General features: G+C 40.3%; 1 protein-coding gene across 12 annotated transcripts in view, besides 1 other annotated feature; it reads left to right on the top strand.

Moving 5' to 3' along the window:
* Positions 1 to 19,014, top strand: part of SSH2 (slingshot protein phosphatase 2) — a 304,291-nt gene that overhangs the window by 192,787 nt on the left and 92,490 nt on the right. Inside the window, exon 3 of one of the 12 annotated variants that reach the window (XM_047436968.1) lies at positions 4,428 to 4,509. The exons of the other annotated variants lie outside the window; for them this stretch is intronic. Coding sequence (XP_047292924.1) covers positions 4,490 to 4,509 — 20 coding nt within the window. The 5' untranslated portion in view covers positions 4,428 to 4,489. The remainder of the gene's footprint in view (positions 1 to 4,427; positions 4,510 to 19,014) is intronic. 12 annotated transcript variants of the gene reach the window in all.
* Positions 13,666 to 13,765: a silencer, noted in NCBI's record as "silent region_8386". NCBI's record gives its function as "represses an Ori minimal core promoter by ATAC-STARR-seq in GM12878 lymphoblastoid cells {active_cell/tissue: GM12878}" and the evidence as "EXISTENCE:reporter gene assay evidence [ECO:0000049][PMID:35858748]".

Genomic DNA, 19,014 nt, shown 5'->3' with positions numbered 1-19,014 from the left:
GACCAAGTCACAGCTCTAGATCTTACATTCCAGACTGTAAATAAATTATTATAAATAAATAATTAGCTGATATAGCTCTAAAGAAAAAATAATGGAGGACAGAAGGAAAGCTGGGAGGGAGAGACTATTTTAGAGAAAATGGTCAGAAGACTGTTAAGCTGTTACTTGAACCACAAACGGAAGTGTAGACATTTTATGTAAATGTGTAAGTTGATTTTTAGGTATATATAACAGATAATCTAAATAATATAAGGCCACTGCATTTATAGATGTAATGAAAATAGATGAGGATTGTTAACTGTTACAAAAATTAGCCTTTTTTTTTTTTTTTTTTTTTTTTTTTGAGACAGAGTCTTGCTCTGTCGCCCAGGCTGGAGTGCAGTGGTGCGATCTTGGCTCACTGCAAGCTCCGCCTCCTGGGTTCACGCCATTTTTCTGCCTCAGCCTCCCGAGTAGCTGGGACTACAGGCGCCCACCCCCATGCCCAGCTAATTTTTTGTATTTTTAGTAGAGACAGGGTTTCACCGTGTTAGCCAGGATGGTCTCGATCTCCTGACCTTGTGATCTGCCTGCCTCGACCTCCCAAAGTGCTGAGATTACAGGCGTGAGCCACCATGCCCGGCCCATTTTTTTTTTTTTTTTTTTTTTTTTTTTTGAGACAGAGTCTTGCTCTGTCACCCAGGCTGGAGTACAGTGGCGCGATCTTGGCTCACTGCAACCTCCGCCTCCCGGGTTAAAGCAAGTCTCCTGCCTCAGCCTCCTGAGTAGCTGGGACTGTAGGCACGTGCCACCGTGCCTGGCTAATTTTTCATATTTTTAGTAGAGACAGGGTTTCACCATGTTAGCCAGGATGGTCTCGATCTCCTGACCTTGTGATCCACCCGCCTTGGCCTCCCAAAGTGTTGGGATTATAGGCGTGAGCCACCGCGCCCAACCGAAAAATTAGCCTTTATAGTAACTGTTATACCTTATGTTTAATCTTTTTTCCCATGTAGCATGGATTATAAAATCAAGATCAGTAAAGCCCTAAATCTAATCATTTCCTTGGATGCTGAATCACTTTCTGCATAAGATCTTAGATTTCTCACACTGCTGGAAAATAAGTACTGTCATCAAATGGCATGCTCTGGGTAGCTGTTGACATTTCTAGAGTGTCCAACAGGTTTAGAGAAGTGTAAAACCTCTTTTGCTGGCAGATTTAATGTTAATGAATTTCAAAATCTTATCCAAAATCCTTTATTATACTGAAATCCTGTTACGTCTAGTACTGTAGGGCTTTAGTAAGTCAACTCTCACTTAATGCTTGGGAATCTTTGTAATATAGAATTTTTTTGTTTTGTTTTGTTTTAGATAGTGTCACTCTGTCGTCCAGGCTGGACTGCAGTGGCGCAATCTCGGCTCACTGCAACCTCCGCCTCCTGGGTTCAAGTGATTCTTGTGCCTCAGCCTCACAGGTAGCTAGGATTACAAGCACGCACCACCACACCCAGCTAATTTTTGTATTTTTGGTAGAGATGGGGTTTCTCCACGTTGTCCAAGCTGGTCTCGAACTTCTGAGCTCAAGTGATCTGCCCGCCTCAGCCTCCCAAAGTGCTGGGATTACAAGCTAGAAATGTTTATTGTAGAGGTATTTTTCAGAAATGGGGAGTGAAGGAGACAGCATGATGGGACAGGTAGAGGGTCTTAATAGGATTTACCTGATGTGTGCTTTATTTTCTTTACTTACTTTTTTTTTTTTTTTTTTTGAGACAGAATCTTGCTCTGTCGTCCAGGCTGGAGTGCAGTGACGCGATCTCGACTCACTGCAACCTCCACCTCCCAGGTTCAAGTGATTCTCCTGTCTCAAGCCTCCTAAGTAGCGGGATTACTGGCATGCACCACCATGCCCAGCTAATTTTTGTATTTTTAGTAGAGATGGGGTTTCACCATGTTGGGCAGGCTGGTCTCAAACTTCTGACCTCCTGTGATGTGCCTGCCTCAGCCTCCCAAAGTTCTGGGATCACAGGCATGAGCCACTGCACCTGGCCCTGTAGTATGCTTTAAAATGAGAGTCCACAGTATTAACAGAAGAACCTGTGCAACTCCCATTCATTGTGTTTCCTCTGGTTTCAAAATTAAAGCCAAGCAAAAATCACTGAGCGTTTGCCTCTTGTTAAAGGTGAGCTGTTATCTATTAAAAAGTGAGGGGTAGTAGTGGGGAGGCTATGAATTCTTACCTACCCATAATTTCTTTAGGGTGTTTATCAGGTTCCTTTAGTCCAGAGCTTTGGACCAGGAAATTCATGAATACACTGAAATAATATGCAAATGTGGGCCTATATATGAGTAGAACATTAATTTTTTCTGGAGGAAAAGGCCATAGCTTTCATCTGATTCTCAAAGGAATCTAACGACCTTACCCCAACATCTCCCCCACCCCCAATTTTGAACCTTGAATAGAGTGCTTTAGGTATTTGATTTAGAAACCCAAGTAAACTCTTTTTAAGCTCTTTGAACTTAACCACTGAGATTTATTTATCCATTTTTAAACAATCACTCATGATTTCCCCAAGCTGAAAGAATGTGAGCTAATGTTTTTCTCTCTATTGAGAAGGATTATGCAGCCCTTTGAATACCCTCTCCTTCTTAATAATCTTAGAGTAGATATTCCAAGAATGGTATTTGTTTAAAGAAAACTTGGAATATTACAATAAAGCCTGAATATTTGTGTTTCTCAGCACAACCTATGTGGTAATAAAATGAAGCAATGTTAGGGTAAAATATTGCTAGTGCTTGAACTATTCCAGGGAGGCAAAAATGATTTAAGGTTGTTACTTTCAAGAAAAAGTTCGAGAGGCAATAGGAGAGTTTCTAACTGCTTTTAGTATGGGTACCTATTGAATTAATTATAAAGAGATGTTAGGAGGTTTAGGGATGAAGACCACTGCCCTAGGCTTGGATATTTAGTGAAGTGAATGTGCTGTTTAACTGTTTGTGCACTGAGGGCCAAGAATTCAACCCATTAAGCCATTCTTTGCTACTAAGGCTGATTTCTGCAGCCTACCACGCATAGTTATGAATTTTTGGAAGTGTGAGCAACCACATTTTATGTGCCATTTTTGCCAACTTGCCATTTGCTTATTTGCGCTGGCAATTTCTGGGCTTTCTCAAGGCATAGAAAGCCTTTCTATGTCTTGAAAGCCTTCAGAAAACTCAGACCATTTTCTCTCACTTAGAAATTAGGCCAGATGCGGTGGCTCATGCCTATAATCCCAGCACTTTGGGAGGCCGAGGTGGGTGAATCACAAGTTCAGGAGTTCGAGACCAGCCTGGCCAATATGGTGAAACCCCATCACCATCTCCGACTAATACAAAAATTAGCCAGGCATGGTGGCGGGCGCCTGTAGTCCCAGCTGCTTGGGAAGCTGAGGCAGGAGAATCGCTTGAACCCAGGAGGTGGAGGTAGCAGTGAGGCAATGAGCCAAGATCGCACCACTGCATTCTAGCCTGGGCGACAGAGTGAGACTCCATCTCAAAAAAAAAAAAAAAAAAGAAAGAAATTAAACACCCTGTAAAGGAGAAACTTATGTATCTTAGAAATTTTTCCTCCAAGGGGATTATTTCAGCTTTTTAGTGTTAAATGAGAATATTTAGATAGACATTTTTCATTAAATAGTGTTTTTAATACAGAAGAAACAAGATGAGATTTTTCAAAATTGACCCTTTTTAAAGTATTGAGCTATGAACTATTTATACAACTTTTGGTTTAGAAGTAAATATTGGAAAATGAATACATAAATGCATATGAACTATGTTAAGTTTCTGTTTGGTAACTATTGTTTAAATATGAAGAAGAAAGTAAAACATTCAAAATATTACCTTTATAGCACTAACTGCTGATTTGAAAAAAAAAGTACAGCAGATTTCATAATCCTCTTTAGTGACATTAGAAAACCTTTGGGGAAACATCGAATATGTTTAACTTTCCTGCAGAAGAAATTTCATAATTGCAACATGCAGTTTCTTTGAAGATAAACATTTCTATTTGTTATACTTATGTTTCAGAAGTATGTTTACTGCATTCTTTCAATATGTTTAATTGGTTTCCCCTGACAGTTGAGGAGGTTCCAAAAACATCTGGTTGTTAGTGGGGTTTTCTTAGCTTCCTTTTGAGGGCACCTATTGTGCCTGACTCACTTCAACACAATCTTTATTAGAAAATCTGTGTACCGCAAGATTTGCTTTTGTTTTGTTTTTTATTTGTTTGCTTGTTTTTGCTAAATCTGTGAGTGAGCTCTGTCCCCATTTGGTTCTTCCTTTGCTGGATGCTGGATCCAGGAAGCTGTCAACTAAAAGACTGCTGGAAGACTCTTCCCAGCTAGACCCTGGTGTTAATTGATACAATGATGATTCCCAGGTTGAAAACCTGTTTTTTTTCCATTTCCCAGGAGACTAAACTGCTGAACATTTTACCCTGTTGACCTGGGTAGCTCTTGTCTCTGGCTAAGGCATGGCAGGCAGTCCTGGAAAGTGAGTTACCTGAAAGATATTTGCTGCTTTGCTTTAGGCATGACTGTACCAGAGTTATGTGTGGTAGAGATTGCTCAGTGCGTATTCGAGATTATACATTTATCTATTCCGGATGAAATAAAATTGATCATTGGTTGTTCTGTTGGTTTCCAAGGAACACACCAATACAGTTTTTCTGTTAGTGTCTTTTCCCCTCAGCTGAGGTAATGACCTCACTGCTATGAGCCGAAGCCTCCTTCTATCTTTAATGGGTGTGCATACCTTGCCTAAATATAGCGAGGTGTGAACTTGGCTGATATAGAGAGAGACAGTAAAATGACCTTAGCTGGTCTCCATTTCTACTGTTAGAATTATATTTAACGAAATAGGAACACTTTTTGTTCTGCTTATAGGCTGAAATGCTCTTTCCAGCTGCTCAGTTTCCTTAGGTAAAATTTTTTTGCACTAGACCAAAAAATTGTTTTAAAAGCCAAAGCAAATTATTTCAGAAAGAAGCCAGAAGTTAATTCCACATGAAAACATGCCTGGAGGGTGGCTTCTGTTTCTATTTCATTGTCCAGAATTCAACATTTATTCCAAATGTGAAAGGTAAAGCCTAAGCTTTTCATGTACCTTATGTTCTTTAGAATAATAATTTGCATTTATATACTCCTGGTGCTTGCTACTTTTTAGAATGCTTCTGCAAACTTTTGCCTACTAAGAAGAAAGAAAATATTTTATCCCCAAGTATGTGAGACAAGGTAGATATCATTAATTTAGTTTTACAAATGAAGAAACTCAGATGCAGAGAGGTAAAATGACTTTTCTAGGGGACTAAGTGAATCAGTAATATAACCAATGCAGGAGATATCACTTCACCACGCTTTAGCTCAGGCAGCTGTCTTTTACCCTCTTTTGTGAGCGTAAAATCACCCAAGCAGGCTCTCTGTTACAAGAATTTTGGTGGGAGAAATTCTCCCTCCATCCCTTTCTTTTTTAATTGACCAGCACTGGGGTTGTGGGGTGAGGGGGTTGGAGGGACAGGATTCTATCTGCAGAAAAAATTTCCAGTGGAAGCAAGGATCCAATGAATGAACAAATTAATCATTTCATTACTAAATAGGGTTTAGTACCCTATAGGGTCTGAACAGTCACATTTGCAGAGAAGCCCAGCCCATTGTGACATAACCTTTAGAGGCATTCTTTAAGAATTACTTCTTCTGTAATCTCAGCACTTTGGGAGGCCCAGGTGGACAGATCAGTTGAGGCCAGGAATTCGAGACCATCCTGGCCAACATGGTGAAACCCCATCTCTACTAAAAATGCACAGATTAGCCGGGTGTAGCGGCGCATGCCTGTAATCCCAGCTACTCAGGAGGCTGAGGCACGAGAATCGCTTGAACCTGGGAGGCGGAGGTTGTAGTGAGCCGAGATCGTGCCACTGCACTCCAGCCTGGACGACAGAGTGAGACTCCATCTCAAAATAAATAAATAAATAAATAAATAAATAAATAAATAAATAAATAAATAAATAAAAAATACTTCTGCTATGAAAAACCTAGTTGGTATTTTTGCTTATTTAATACTATAGAAATATGGTGATCTCATCTTTAATAGAGTGCTTTTAAGGTCCCCAGTGATAATCTCCTAAAATCATGAACTTTAAGAATTTATAATGTTAATATGAGGAAATGAAATCTGGATTATCTCACCACATATTATATAATTCATTAGTGACAGAGCAAGAACTCCAGGTCACCTGTCTATTCCATGTTTTTCCTATCTGCCTTTAAATGTTGAGATACTACCCTTATCTCATGTGAATGGAGAAACTGCCTAAAATGCTAAAACTGACTCAGAGGCACCCAGACATAAGTGAAGTGTGATTAGAAAATCCTGGTCAGTTGAGTCTTAGCCAAATGTGTACCTACTGTGTACTGCCTCTATCAAGTCAATGAAAACATGATCTGAGAACTGTAAGTCCATTTATGGAAAGGTTTGATTTAGAGATATTTTGAACTTCCAGTGATGAGCCCCTTCTCAAATAGCTGTATTCTGAAGGTAACAGTCACCTTATCATATTTTTCATCATATTTTATTTTCATATCTTTTTAAAATTTTAAAAACAACTTGTGTGGGTACATAGTAGGTATATATATTTATGGGGTACAAGAGATATTTTGATACAGGCATGCAATGTGTAATAATCACATTAGGCTGGGTGCAGTGGCTCATGCCTGTAATCCCAGCACTTTGGGAGGCCGAGGCAGGCAGATCGCTTGAGCCCAGGAGTTCGAGACCAGCCTGGGCAACATGGTGAAACACTATCTCTACAAAAATTACCAAAAAAATTAGCCGAGTGTGGTGGCACACATCTGTAGTCCCAATTACTTGGAAGGCTGAAGTGAGATGATTACCTGAGCCCTGGAGGTCAAGGCTACAGTGAGTGGTGATCATGCCATTCTGCTCCAGCCTGGGTGACAGAGTAAGACCTTGTCTCCAAAAAAAAAAAAAAGAAAAAGTCAAATCACATCAGGGTAAATGGAGTATCTGTCACCTCCAGCATTTTTCCTTCCTTTGTGTTACAAACAAATTATATATATATATAATTATATGTATATAAAATTATATATATATATATTTAGACAGAGTCCCACTTTGTCACCCAGGCTGGAGTGAGCAGAGCTCACTGCAGCTTCAACCTCCTGGGTTCAAGCAGTCCTCCCGCCTCAGCCTCCCAAGTAGCAGGGACCACAGGCACGTGCAACCACACTCAACTAATTTTTTGTATTTTTAGTAGAGATGGGCTTTCACCATGTTGCCCAGCCTGGTTTCGAACTCCTGAGCTCAAGCCATTTGCCCATCTCAGCCTCTCCCGAAGTGCTGGGTTTACAGGTGTGAGCCACCATGCCTGGCCTCTTTTACTTATTTTAAACTTACAGTAATTTATTGTTGTTGACTTTAGTCACCCTGCTGTGCTATCAAATACTATATCTTATTTATTCTGTCTAACTATATTTTTGTACCCATTAGCCATCCCCACTTCCTCTCCACAACTACTAGCCTTGCCAGTCTCTGGTAACCATCATTCTACTCCCTAGCTCCATAAGTTCAATTGTTTTCATTTTTAGCTCCCACAAATAAGTGAGAATATGTGAAGTTTGTCTTTCTGTGCCTGGCTTATTTCACTTAACATAATGACCTCCAGTCCATCCATGTTGTTGCAAAAGACAGGACCTCATTCTTTTTATAGCTGAATAGTACCCCATTGTATGAATGTACCACATTTTCTTTATCCATTCACCTGTTGATGGACACAGGTTACTTGCAAATCTTGGCTATTGTGAGTAGAGCTGCAAAGAACATGGAAGTACAGATATCTCTTTTTATACTGATTTCCTTTCTTTGGGTATATGCCCAGCAACGAGATTGCTGGATCGTATGGTAGTTCTATTTAGTTTTTGGAGGAACTTCCAAACTGTTCTCCATAGTGGTTGTACTAGTTTACACACCTACCAACAGCATATGAGGGTTCCCTTTTCTCCACATCCTCACCAGCATTTATTATTTCCTATCTTCTGGATTAAAGCCGTTTTAACTGGGATAAGATGATATCTCATTGTAGTTTTGGTTTGCATTTCTCTGATGATCAGTGATGTTGAGCACCTTTTCATGTAACTGTTTGCCATTTCAATGTCATCTTTTGAGAAATGTCTATTCAGACCCTTTGCCCATTTTTAAATCAGATTATTAGATTTTATTTCCTATAGAGTTGTTTGAGCTTCTTATATTAATCTGGTTATCAATCCCTTGTCAGATGGGTAGTTTATAGATATTTTTTCCCATTCTGTGGGTGGTCTCTTTGTTGTTTCCTTTGCTGTGCAGAGGCTTTTTAACTTGATGTGATCCTGTTTGTCCATTTTTGCTTAGGTTACCTGTGTTTGTGGGGTATTACTCAAGAAATATTTGCCCAGTTCAATGTCCTGGAGTTTCCCCAGTGTTTTCTTGTAGTGGTTTCATAGTTTGAGGTCTTAGGTTTAAGTATTTAATCCATTTTGATTTGACTTTGTATATGGCGAGAGATGGAGGCTAGTTTCACTCTTCTGCATATGGACATCAGTATTTCTGACATCATTTATTGAAGAGACTCTCCTTTCCCCAATGGATGTTCTTGACACTTTTGTCAAAAATGAGTTCACTGTAGATGTATGGATTTATTCCTGGATTCTGTGTTATATCCCATTGGTCTATGTGTCTCTTTTTATGACATTACCATGCTGTTTTGGTTACTATAGCTCGGTAATATAATTTGAAGTCAGACAATGTGATTCCTCCGGTTTTGTTCCTTTTGCTTAGGATGATTTTGGCTATTCTGGGTATGTTGTGGTTCCATGTAAATTTTAGGATTATTTTTTCTATTTCTGTGAAGAATGTCATTGGTTTTTTGATAGGGATTGCATTGAATCTTTAGATTGTTTTGTGTAGTATAGACATTTTCACAATATTCTTTCAATCCATGAACATGGAATATGTTTTCCTTTTTTGGTGTCGTCTTCAATTTCTTTCACCTGTGTGTTATAGTTTTTATTATAGAGGTTGTTCACTTCTTTGGTTAATTCCGAGGTATTTAATTTTATGTGTGACTACTGTAAATGGTATTACTTCTTAAATTTCGTTTTCAGATTGTTTGCTGTTGGCATATAGAAATGCTACTGATTTTTGTATGCCGATTATGTATCCCACAATTTTACTGAATTTGTTTATCAGTTCTAATAGTTTTTTGGTGGAGTCTTTAGGTTTTTTTCAAATGTGAGATCATATCATCTGCATGGGCACAGTGGCTCATTCCTGTAATCCCAGCACTTTGGGAGGCTGGGGTGGGTGTATCATGAGGCCAGAAGTTTGAGACCACGCCCAGCTAATTTTTGTATTTTTAGTAGAGAAGGGGTTTCGCCATGTTGGCCAGGCTTGTCTCGAACTCCTGGCCTCTTGTGATCTGCCCACCTTGACCTCCCAAAGTGCTGGGATTACAGGTGTGAGCGATCGCGCCTGGCCTGCAAACAAGGATAATTTGACTTCTTCCTTTCCAATTGGGATGCTCTTTGTTTCTTTTCTTGTCTGATTGCCCTGTCTAGGACTTCTAGCACTATTTTGAATAACAGTGGTAAAAGTGGGCATCCTTGTCATGTTCCAGATCTTAGAGGAAGGGTTTTCTGTTTTTCCCCATTCAGTGACTTACTAGCTGTGGGTTCTAACATCTTTTTAAGTGTTACAATTGCATTTATAGAAGAGAGGTAAGAAGCAAAGTTAGTCACCTATTAAAATATGACAGCTTTTCTGTGGTTAAGATATATATTGGATCAAATCTTATTCTCTGGACTTACTCCACCAGTTATTTCCTAGGGATAGCCTGTGGTTCATCTTTAACGTAAATTATCTTTTCATTCTCCAGCAGCCATGTTTTACACAACTACTGATTTTAGAACTAGGGAAATTCAAGTTCCTGAAAACTGCCTTCTCATAGATATTTTTTAATAATGGATTACTTAATTTAGCTGAGAGTCAAAGAAATTTAATATTACCTGCTTGCCAGTTTTTCACTAACATCCTATTGTAATGTAATACAGATGAATTTGTAAAATTCACTTGTCTTCTTTTGATCGAAGCTGGCTTCAGATTTCCCATTCATCTTTTCCTTGTTACTGTGTTCAGGAAACTGAACTTTCTTTGTCTATTATTGGTTTAAAATGGTAGTTTCAGAACTTATCTGCATTATTGTTCATTTGACTAGAGCCCATTAGTATATTGTCATATCCGTTGAATGGGGGATAAGGAAGGAAGTCCTTTGTGTAAAAGCATTCTCTGCAGCTGTTCCTCCCTAATGCTGTAAGTTTGATGCCTGGCAGGAAATGATATAGACATGTGTGATAACAAAATGACATAAGGAAGAATTGCCTGTAAGCTTCCCTGGCTTGTCCAGGATGATTGGCTGGCAGCCGGTAGATAGATTAAGGGAGATTTGATATCCAAATCTGAGGATTCACAAGTGTAACTTAAGACAAAATTGAGATGGTGGAAAAAACCTATTTTGAGAAAAGTTTGGGCAAAGGCAGATGGTATGAAAGGCAATAGCCATGTAAATAGACCTTTTTTGACCCTGCTGGGTGACTCAAAGCCTTGCAATTTTTTAGAGACAAGGACCTGTCAGAAGAATCAAGAACTTCAAAGAAAAAACATTCTTTATGAATGCAAGGGATTTTCACATATCAAAACATTTCTCATTGTTCTTATAATTTGAATATCTTCATGGAGTAAATTTACCATTGTACTAAAAAATAAACTAGACAAATAGCCCCCATGGTATCTATATTCTCTTTATTCTCATTAGCTCAGATCAGACCACCCTTGTTACTTGCCTGGAATACCAAAGTGACATCTGTCTCCCTTTTTCTAAGTTTCACCCCTCTTCCAATCCATTCTCCATATTGTAGTTGGAGGAATCTTTCTAGAAATGCAAACTCTGGCTCTCTCTTAGCCTCAGAATAAAGCTAGATTCCTTAGCAAGCCATAGAAAACCCTTCCAAATCTGTACCTCTCCCCATCTGTACTGAAGCCCTCTCCACTGTTTCCCCATACAATAGGATTGAAGTTGTTCTGTCCCTCTGACCAGGCCTTTGCACATGCTGCTCCCCCTGCCTGAAACATCCTTTCTTTTCCCTCCTAACCTCCTTTCACCTGACTAATGCCTACCCAGGCTCCAGAATGGATTGAATAGATGTCCTTCCATGGAGGAAGAAGCGTTCTGCCTCCCCTCTCTTCTGGAGAGGGCGGTTAGTGTGTTTGTTTTATTTTTTATTTAAGTCTCTGCTCGAATATCATCTTGACCACCTCCTTACCTAAAACAGCAGTGCACCTTGTCATTTTTTAGCCTCTTACCCACTGCTTACTTCACAGCATTTATTATCACCTGACATTTTACTTATTTGTCTCTCTCTACCTCCACTGTCACAAATCTATTGATTCCCTGGCTTTTTTTAAATTTTCTTTTAAGTTCTGGGATACATTTGCAGAACATGCAGGTTTCTTACATAGGTATACATGTGCCATGGTGGTTTGCTGCACCTATCAACCCATCATCTAGGTTTTAAGCCCCACATGGATTAGATATTTGTCCTACTGCTCTCCCTCCTCTTGCCCCCAGCCCTCCGACAGGCCCCAGTGTGTGATGTTCCCTTCCCTGTGTCCATGTGTTCTCATTGTTCAACTCCCACTTATGAGTGAGAACATGCAGTGTTTGGTTTTCTGTTCCTGTGTTAGTTTGTTGAGAATGATGTTTTCCAGCTTCATCCATGTCCCTGCAAAGGACATAAACTCATTCTTTTTTATGGCTGCATAGTATTCCATGGTGTATATGTGCCACATTTTCTTTATCCAGTCTATCATTGATGGGCATTTGGGTTGGTTCCAAGTCTTTGCTATTGTAAATGTAGCTGCAGTAAACATACATGTGCATGTGGCATGTGTCTTTATAGTAGAATGATTTAGAATCTTTTGGGTATATACCCAGTAATGGGATTCCCTGGCTTTTTTTTTTTTTTTTTTTTTTGGAGACTGATTCTTGCTGTGTCGCCCAGGCTGGAGTGCAGTGGTGCAATCTTGGCTCACTGCAACCTCGGCGTCCTGGGTTCAAGCAATTCTCCTGCCTCAGCCTCCTGAGTAGCTGGGACTACAGGCACGCACCACCATGCCCGGCTAATTTTTTGTATTTTTAGTAGAGACGGGGTTTCACCATGTTAGCCAGAATGGTCTCGATCTCCTAACCTCGTGATCTGCCCGTCTTGGCCTCCCAGAGTGCTGGGATTACAGGCGTGAGCCACCGTGCCTGGCCGATTCCCTGGCTTTTATAAAAGTTCATTGCTGTATTCCAGTGCCTTGAATGGGACCTGCTACATAATAAGCTCTCAACAAATACCTGTTGAATGAAAATCTGTGATGTATTCTTGAAAAGTTTTCAAACCAAACTGAGTTTCAGAATCAACTAGAACACCTTCAGAAAAAATTAACGGCCAGGCACGGTGGTTCACACCTGTAATCCTAGCACTTTGGGAGGCCGAGGTGGGTGGATTGCCTGAACTCAAGAGTTTGAGACCAGCCTGGGCAACATGGTGAAACCTTGTCTCTACTAAAATACCAAAAATTAGCTGGGCATGGTGGCATGCGCCTGTAATCCCAGCTACTCGGGAGGCAGAGGCAGGAGAATTGCTAGAACCCGTGAGGTGGAGGTTGCAGTGAGCTGAGAATGCACCACTGCACTCCAGCCTGGGCAATGAGCGAGACTCTGTCTCTTTGAAAAAAAAAAAAAAAAAAAAAAAGATTTGGTAATCTGGGTCCTTAGAATAGGGTTTTGTTTTTTTTTTTTTTTTTTGAGACAGAGTTTTGCTCTTGTTGCCCAGGCTGGAGTGCAATGGCACAATCTTGGCTCACTGTAACCTCCGCCTCCCGGGTTCAAGTGATTCCCCTGCCTCAGCCTCCCAGGTAGCTGGGATTACAGGCATGTGCCACCACGCCCGGCTAATTTTGTATTTTTAGTAGAGATGGGGTTTCACCATGTTGGTCAGGCTGGTCTTGAACTCCCGACCTCAGGCCATCCACCCACCTCGGCCTCCCGAAGTGCTGGGATTACAGGTGTGAGCCACCCTGCCCGGCTAGAATAGGTTCTGACATCCACATTTTAAAACCTCAGTTAGATTATATGAGTACAGAAAGAATAGGCACCTTCCTCTGTTTTGCATGTATTACACCTTTGAGTTAAAATCTGTATCTAGTTGATTAAATTATAATTTGGTCTGTTGTAGCTTTTGCTGTCACCAACAGGAAAATGTGGGTCCTGTGAACTATGTGGAATTAACTGACTGAGAATTCAGGAAGAGGAGCTTATATAGGACCTAAGAGAGGCTACTGTGCCTGAACAAGAGATTTCCCACATCTTTTGTAGTCAGTTTGCCCAGAAGGTAGATGTATGGGAGTATCCCATACAATACACCCAACTTCTCAGAAAAGGGAAGTTCAAGACAGAACACCAGATAGAACTTTGCAAGTAAATTTTTCAAGTGGAAGAAGTTCCCCCTAGCATGAGGCCTGATTAAAGGCTGCAAACAAGAACAAATAAGGCCTTTCCTGTGGTTTGTATGACAAATGTGGGCTTTCTCACCTGCCAGAAGAGCTGCCCTACCCCCCACCCCAGAATCACTTTGGTCCTTTATAAAAATTGAAAACACAGAATAATATCATTAAAGAAAATTTTCAAAAAGAGAAAAAATTACCCACAATGTTAAGTTCCTTACTTAGGGCCATTTCCATTCCTGCCATGTTACCTTCCCGTTCTTCACATGTACCAGAGAAGAGGTTTTGTAATATCTTCCATACTTTCTTATCTTCCAAAGTGTTCTTGAGTCTTCAGCTTCCCTATTGCCATTTTCAGATCACATTCATTAAGCACTGTGTATATAGCGTTACACTGGGCACTATATAAAGCAGTGTGAATGGCAATTTCCCTTCATTGCCTTACATGCAAGAGCAAACAATATAGGCCTAGGAGTATTCATTTAACTAAACAGAAATAAAGTTAAACATATATCAAAGCAAGGCAGTAGAGCAGATGAACAACTGTATTGTCTTTGCTTTTACATGAGTTTTCTGTACATGATAAGCTTTTTTTTATTTGGAATTGGAAAATGAAGGGAGGTTTGGGGCCATTTGCATCTCACCCAGATTTTTATACAGTATATTGTACCATATCTCATCTCCCACAGAGATGGGATATCTTGCCCACAGAGATGGGATATCTTGCATAGAGCTAAGTAGTGCTACTGACAGAGAACCTCAGTCACTTAAGTGGAGACATATGGGCAGCTTAAGGTCTCCTTATTTGAGTAGTAGACATTGCCGATGGCAAAGCATTTTGGGAAGAGGGGTAGCTCATAAATGAGGAACTTAATCTAAGAAATTATTTGTTCTTCAGCCCTGTGGCTTCGGATTGTTGGTTTCTTCACGGTTCACTTTCTCTCAGGCTCCACCCCTCTCTCACTGCAGAGAACTTGTTGACAGCAGCTCTACTTTTTCCAGTCTTGCACAAAGGCAGATGTCTGAAAATTTAGCTTACGCAAACCATCTGTGTGCTTGACTCTGTTCCCACGGTGTGTTTTCCTGTACTGCCCCTCCCCACTTTTCGGTCCTTTTTAAAAACTGAAAACACAGTATAATAACATAATTTAAGAAAATTTTCAAAAAGAAAAAAATCACCCACAATATTACTATCCTTATTGATAGCTGTTTTCATTCCTGCCATGTTATCTTCCCGTGCATAGCTTTTTGCGTAATTGTGTCCTTTGTCTTAAGCAGAAGTTCAGATACTTTGTCATTTAGCCACTTCCCTGTTTTTCTCCTGGCATTATCTTTTGGTTTTTGGTCTTGAGTTACTCAAAGGACATTGCAGCTTATCAGTACTCCATCGATGAGTCCTTATTTTTATTTTCCTTTCTGACTTTTGAAACCCAAGTACTCTAGAGTATGGCTGAGATCCAACTTTTTAAAAGTAAGACATATAACATGTGTGAAGGATTTTTTTAATATTTAGAAACTGCTGTTGTAAATTACACTGACTTTTTTTTTTTTTTTTTTGAGATAATGTCCCGTTCTATTGCCCAGGCTGGAGTGCAGTGGCGCGATCTCGGCTCACTACAACCTCCACCTCCCGGGTTCAAGCAGTTCTCTGCCTCAGCCTCCCGAGTAGCTGGGATTACAGGTGCCGGCCACCATGCCCAGCTAATGTTTGTATTTTTAGTAGAGATGGGGTTTCACCATCTTGACTAGGCTGGTCTTGAACTCCTGACCTCGTGATCCACCCTCCTCAGCCTCCCAAAGTGCTGGGATTACAGGCGTGAGCCACTGCATCCGGCCTTACAAATTACATTGACTTTCAAGAAACATTACCCTGCCCACCCAAGGACAGTCTCATTTAGAAAAAAGACATGTCTATACTTTTCTGCCCTTTGTTGAGTTGCAAGCCTCATTTCTTCTAATACCTGACTAATCTTGTTAGTAATAGTGTTTCACTTGTAACTGGTCGTCTCCCTTTTCAGAGCTGTTATGTCTCACCCTTTGTCTTCTTAATGGTGAATAAGGACACATCCATGCCTCCTCATCATTTTCCCTTTCTTGTTTGACAAAAAGAACAAAATGGACCATGTTTCCTTGTTTTGGTAGAAAGTTTGTTATTGAATATCTTCAGCCACCTTCCTTTCAGAAACCGTAATCCCCAATACTTAGACATTTGAAGGGTTGGACCTGTGGTGTCTAGGGTCCCCTGATGACTTAGGAAGTCTGCAGGATTTACATACAGCTTTTCTAGCTGTCTTACTGTGTGAGAAAACAAAAGACCCTCAGAATTCTAGCTTTCCTTCCAATCATTGCAGAGAAATTTTGCCTTTAGTAGTAAAGCCGGTGGTTAAAAGTTTTTCCTTTTTCCCTTGTTTTCCTGGGTCCTGAGTTGCCACTGGGGTAGATTATAGGACCTAGCTCGACCAAAACCTAAAAGCAATCCAGGGAACAAGTGTAGGATTATACTGCAATGTCCGTTCTATGCTGGAGCAAATATATAATGAATCTTAACTTCTTTTCTCTGATACATTTAAAACACATATGAAAGTTAAATTTACTCTTGGATCATTTTGATTAGGTTATTTTCCTCTTTTTCTAAACCCTAACTAAAATGTTTGGAATTATTGTTATTTCACATCCCACTCTAGAGTACTGCAAAATACTACTGTGTGATCTCTTTGTCCCCAGCTCCCCAAGAGCTGTGGATCATTGCGTCTTCATAAATTTACTTTAAAATGTGCATTTAGTGAATTTGAACTGTTAAACATTGGATTGGACATCAAGAAAGCTTAATAAATTAAATTTGCAAGAAACCAGTAGAGTGAATTTTTCATCTGTAATGGTGTTACAATTCTGTAGTGATTCTGTAAGGGGAAAAGACTAGGAAACAGAGAACACTGGATGGGTGAAAAATTGTGAGGTAATTAAGGACAGTGACTTCTACTTGCTTTCTCTTTTCCCTTTTCTTTGACAGGTCCTTAAATTGTCATTTGGACTTTGCCTTTTGCTATTTTTTTCTCTTCCTCCTCCTGTTCCTCCTCCTCCATCATCGTTAATTTTTTTTTTTTAACAAAAGTTAACTGCTTTTGCAAGTGTCAGAACCTAACACTGGCAGCAGTGCCCCTCCTAGATTTCATTTGTGCATTAGTGCATGGCCCAAGGGATCTGTAATATGCATTTAAACAGTTACGAAAAGAAGAATTTGTCCAGGGACTTTAAAAAGTCAGGCAGTCCAGCGATAGTAGAGAAAACCAGGCAGTAGATTTAAAAGAGATTCAACATACTTTACCATGCCTTTCTCTGTTCCCCGTGGTTTAATATTTGGGAATTAGTAACTTTGAGGAACTTTTAAGAGGTCCTACTGGCAATATATTTTTTATGTTCAGCCTAGTAAGGTAGAAAACAACTATAGAAGAGATGGTTTGGTAAGGAAAATTGAGAAACTGTTGTTTTGCAGATGGAGTTCAGTTTTTGTGGCCAATTAATTTTGAGAGTTACTGGTAAGGTTGAAATAAAGTAGCACTGAACTGACTCAATTTTTTAAATAACAAAAAAATTCCTTGGTGTTCTAGTATTTGAGAATTCACTTTTAGAACCCTATTGGTACATTGGTGGATAACACTACAATGGGACTGTGGTGTCCTTGTTGTACAGAACAGGCAAAGAATTCAAAATGCTAGAGAGCCAGGGAGTGATGTTTTAAACAAAAACAACAAAACTTGAAAATAGGCCTGTAGGCCAGGTACAGTGGCTCATGCCTGTAATCCCAGCACTTTAGTAGGCCAAGGCAGGTGAATCACCTGAGGTCAGGAGTTCGAGACCACCCTGGCCAACATGGTGAAACCCCATCTCTACTAAAAAATTACAAAAATTAACTAGGCACAGTGGCAGGTGCCTGTAATCCCAGCTATTTGGGAGGCTGAGGCAGGAGAATCACTTGAACCCAGGAGGCGGAGGTTGCAGTGAGCCGAGACTGTGCCATTGCACTCCAGCCTGGGCAACAAGAGCAAAACTCTGTCTCAAAAAAGAAGAAAAGAAAAGAAGCCTACATTTTGACTCCTGCTCTGTAATTTACTAGTTGTGTAATTGGTAAGTTTAAGCAAGTTACTCTCAAAACCTTTGTTTTCTCATCTGTGAAATGGGAAGAACTTCTGTTCATCAAGTTGTTTTAAGATAGTGGTTGTAAAGTACTAGGCATCATGCCTAACACAGGTGGGTACTCAATAAATGATAGTTACAAAGTCCCCTTTTCTTTTTTTTTTCTTTTTTTTTTTTCTTTTGAGACAGAGTCTTGCTCTGTCAGTTAGGCTGTTAGGCTGGAGTGGCACGATCTTGGCTTACTGCAACCTCCACCTCTCGGGTTCAAGTGATTCTCCTGCCTTAGCCTCCCGAGTAGCTGGGATTACAGGCGTGAGCCACCACACCGGGCCCAAACTCCTCTTTAACTTTATTTCACAGTGCTCAAAGCCAACACCTAACCACTACCATGACCATCACACAACTCCCAAAGAGAACATTGATGGACGTGCCATTGTAACAGATTCTGAGTTTCTACAAATGAAAGTTTCTGAAGTAATGGTGAAGTTCTTGCCATTATAAACAACAGCTATCCAGTAGGCAGCTGATTTTATAGGTCTGGGGCTCTGATGTTAGATCTGATCTTTTAGAGAGTCAGAGAGTTGTGGCAGCTGGCCTCCAGGGTGGTCCATAGTGGTTGTTGCCGCCCAGTATTGCTATCCTTGTATAGTCCCCTCCTACACTAAATAGGGCTGACCTATATTACCAGTATAATGTTGCAGAAATTATGATGTGTGCCCTCCAAAATTAAGTCACAAAGCATTGTTCTGCTACCTTGTTCTCCCTGGGATCACTCATTCTGGGGAAAGTCAGCTGCCACGTCATAAGGACACTCAGGCAGCCCAGAGGAGAAATTTACATGGCAAAGAACTGAGGTCTCCTATTAGCAGCCATGTAAATGAGCCATCTTGGAAACAGATCCTCCAGTCCCAGTCTAGGCTTCAGATGACTGCAGCCTCTTTTTTTTTTTTTTTTTTTTTTTTTTGAGGTGAAATCTTGCTTTGTCGCCCAGTCTAGAGTGCAGTGGCACGATCTTGGCTTACTGCAAGCTCCGCCTCCCGGGTTCATGCCATTCTTCTGCCTCAGCCTCCAGAGTAGCTGGGACTACAGGTGCCTGCCACCACGCCCAGCTAATGTTTTGTATTTTTAGTAGAGACAAGGTTTCACCGTGTTAGCCAGGACGGGACTGTAGCCTCTTAAGAGATCCTAAGCCAGAACCATCCAGCTAAGCTGTTCCTGAATTCCTGATTCTCAAAAACTGTGAGATAATAAATGTTTTTTGTGGTTTTA

This window comes from Homo sapiens, chromosome 17, assembly GCF_000001405.40.
Source record: "Homo sapiens chromosome 17, GRCh38.p14 Primary Assembly".
NCBI lineage: Eukaryota > Metazoa > Chordata > Mammalia > Primates > Hominidae > Homo > Homo sapiens.
Note: the sequence above shows the minus strand (reverse complement) of the source record. Positions and strands in the feature narration are given on the sequence as shown.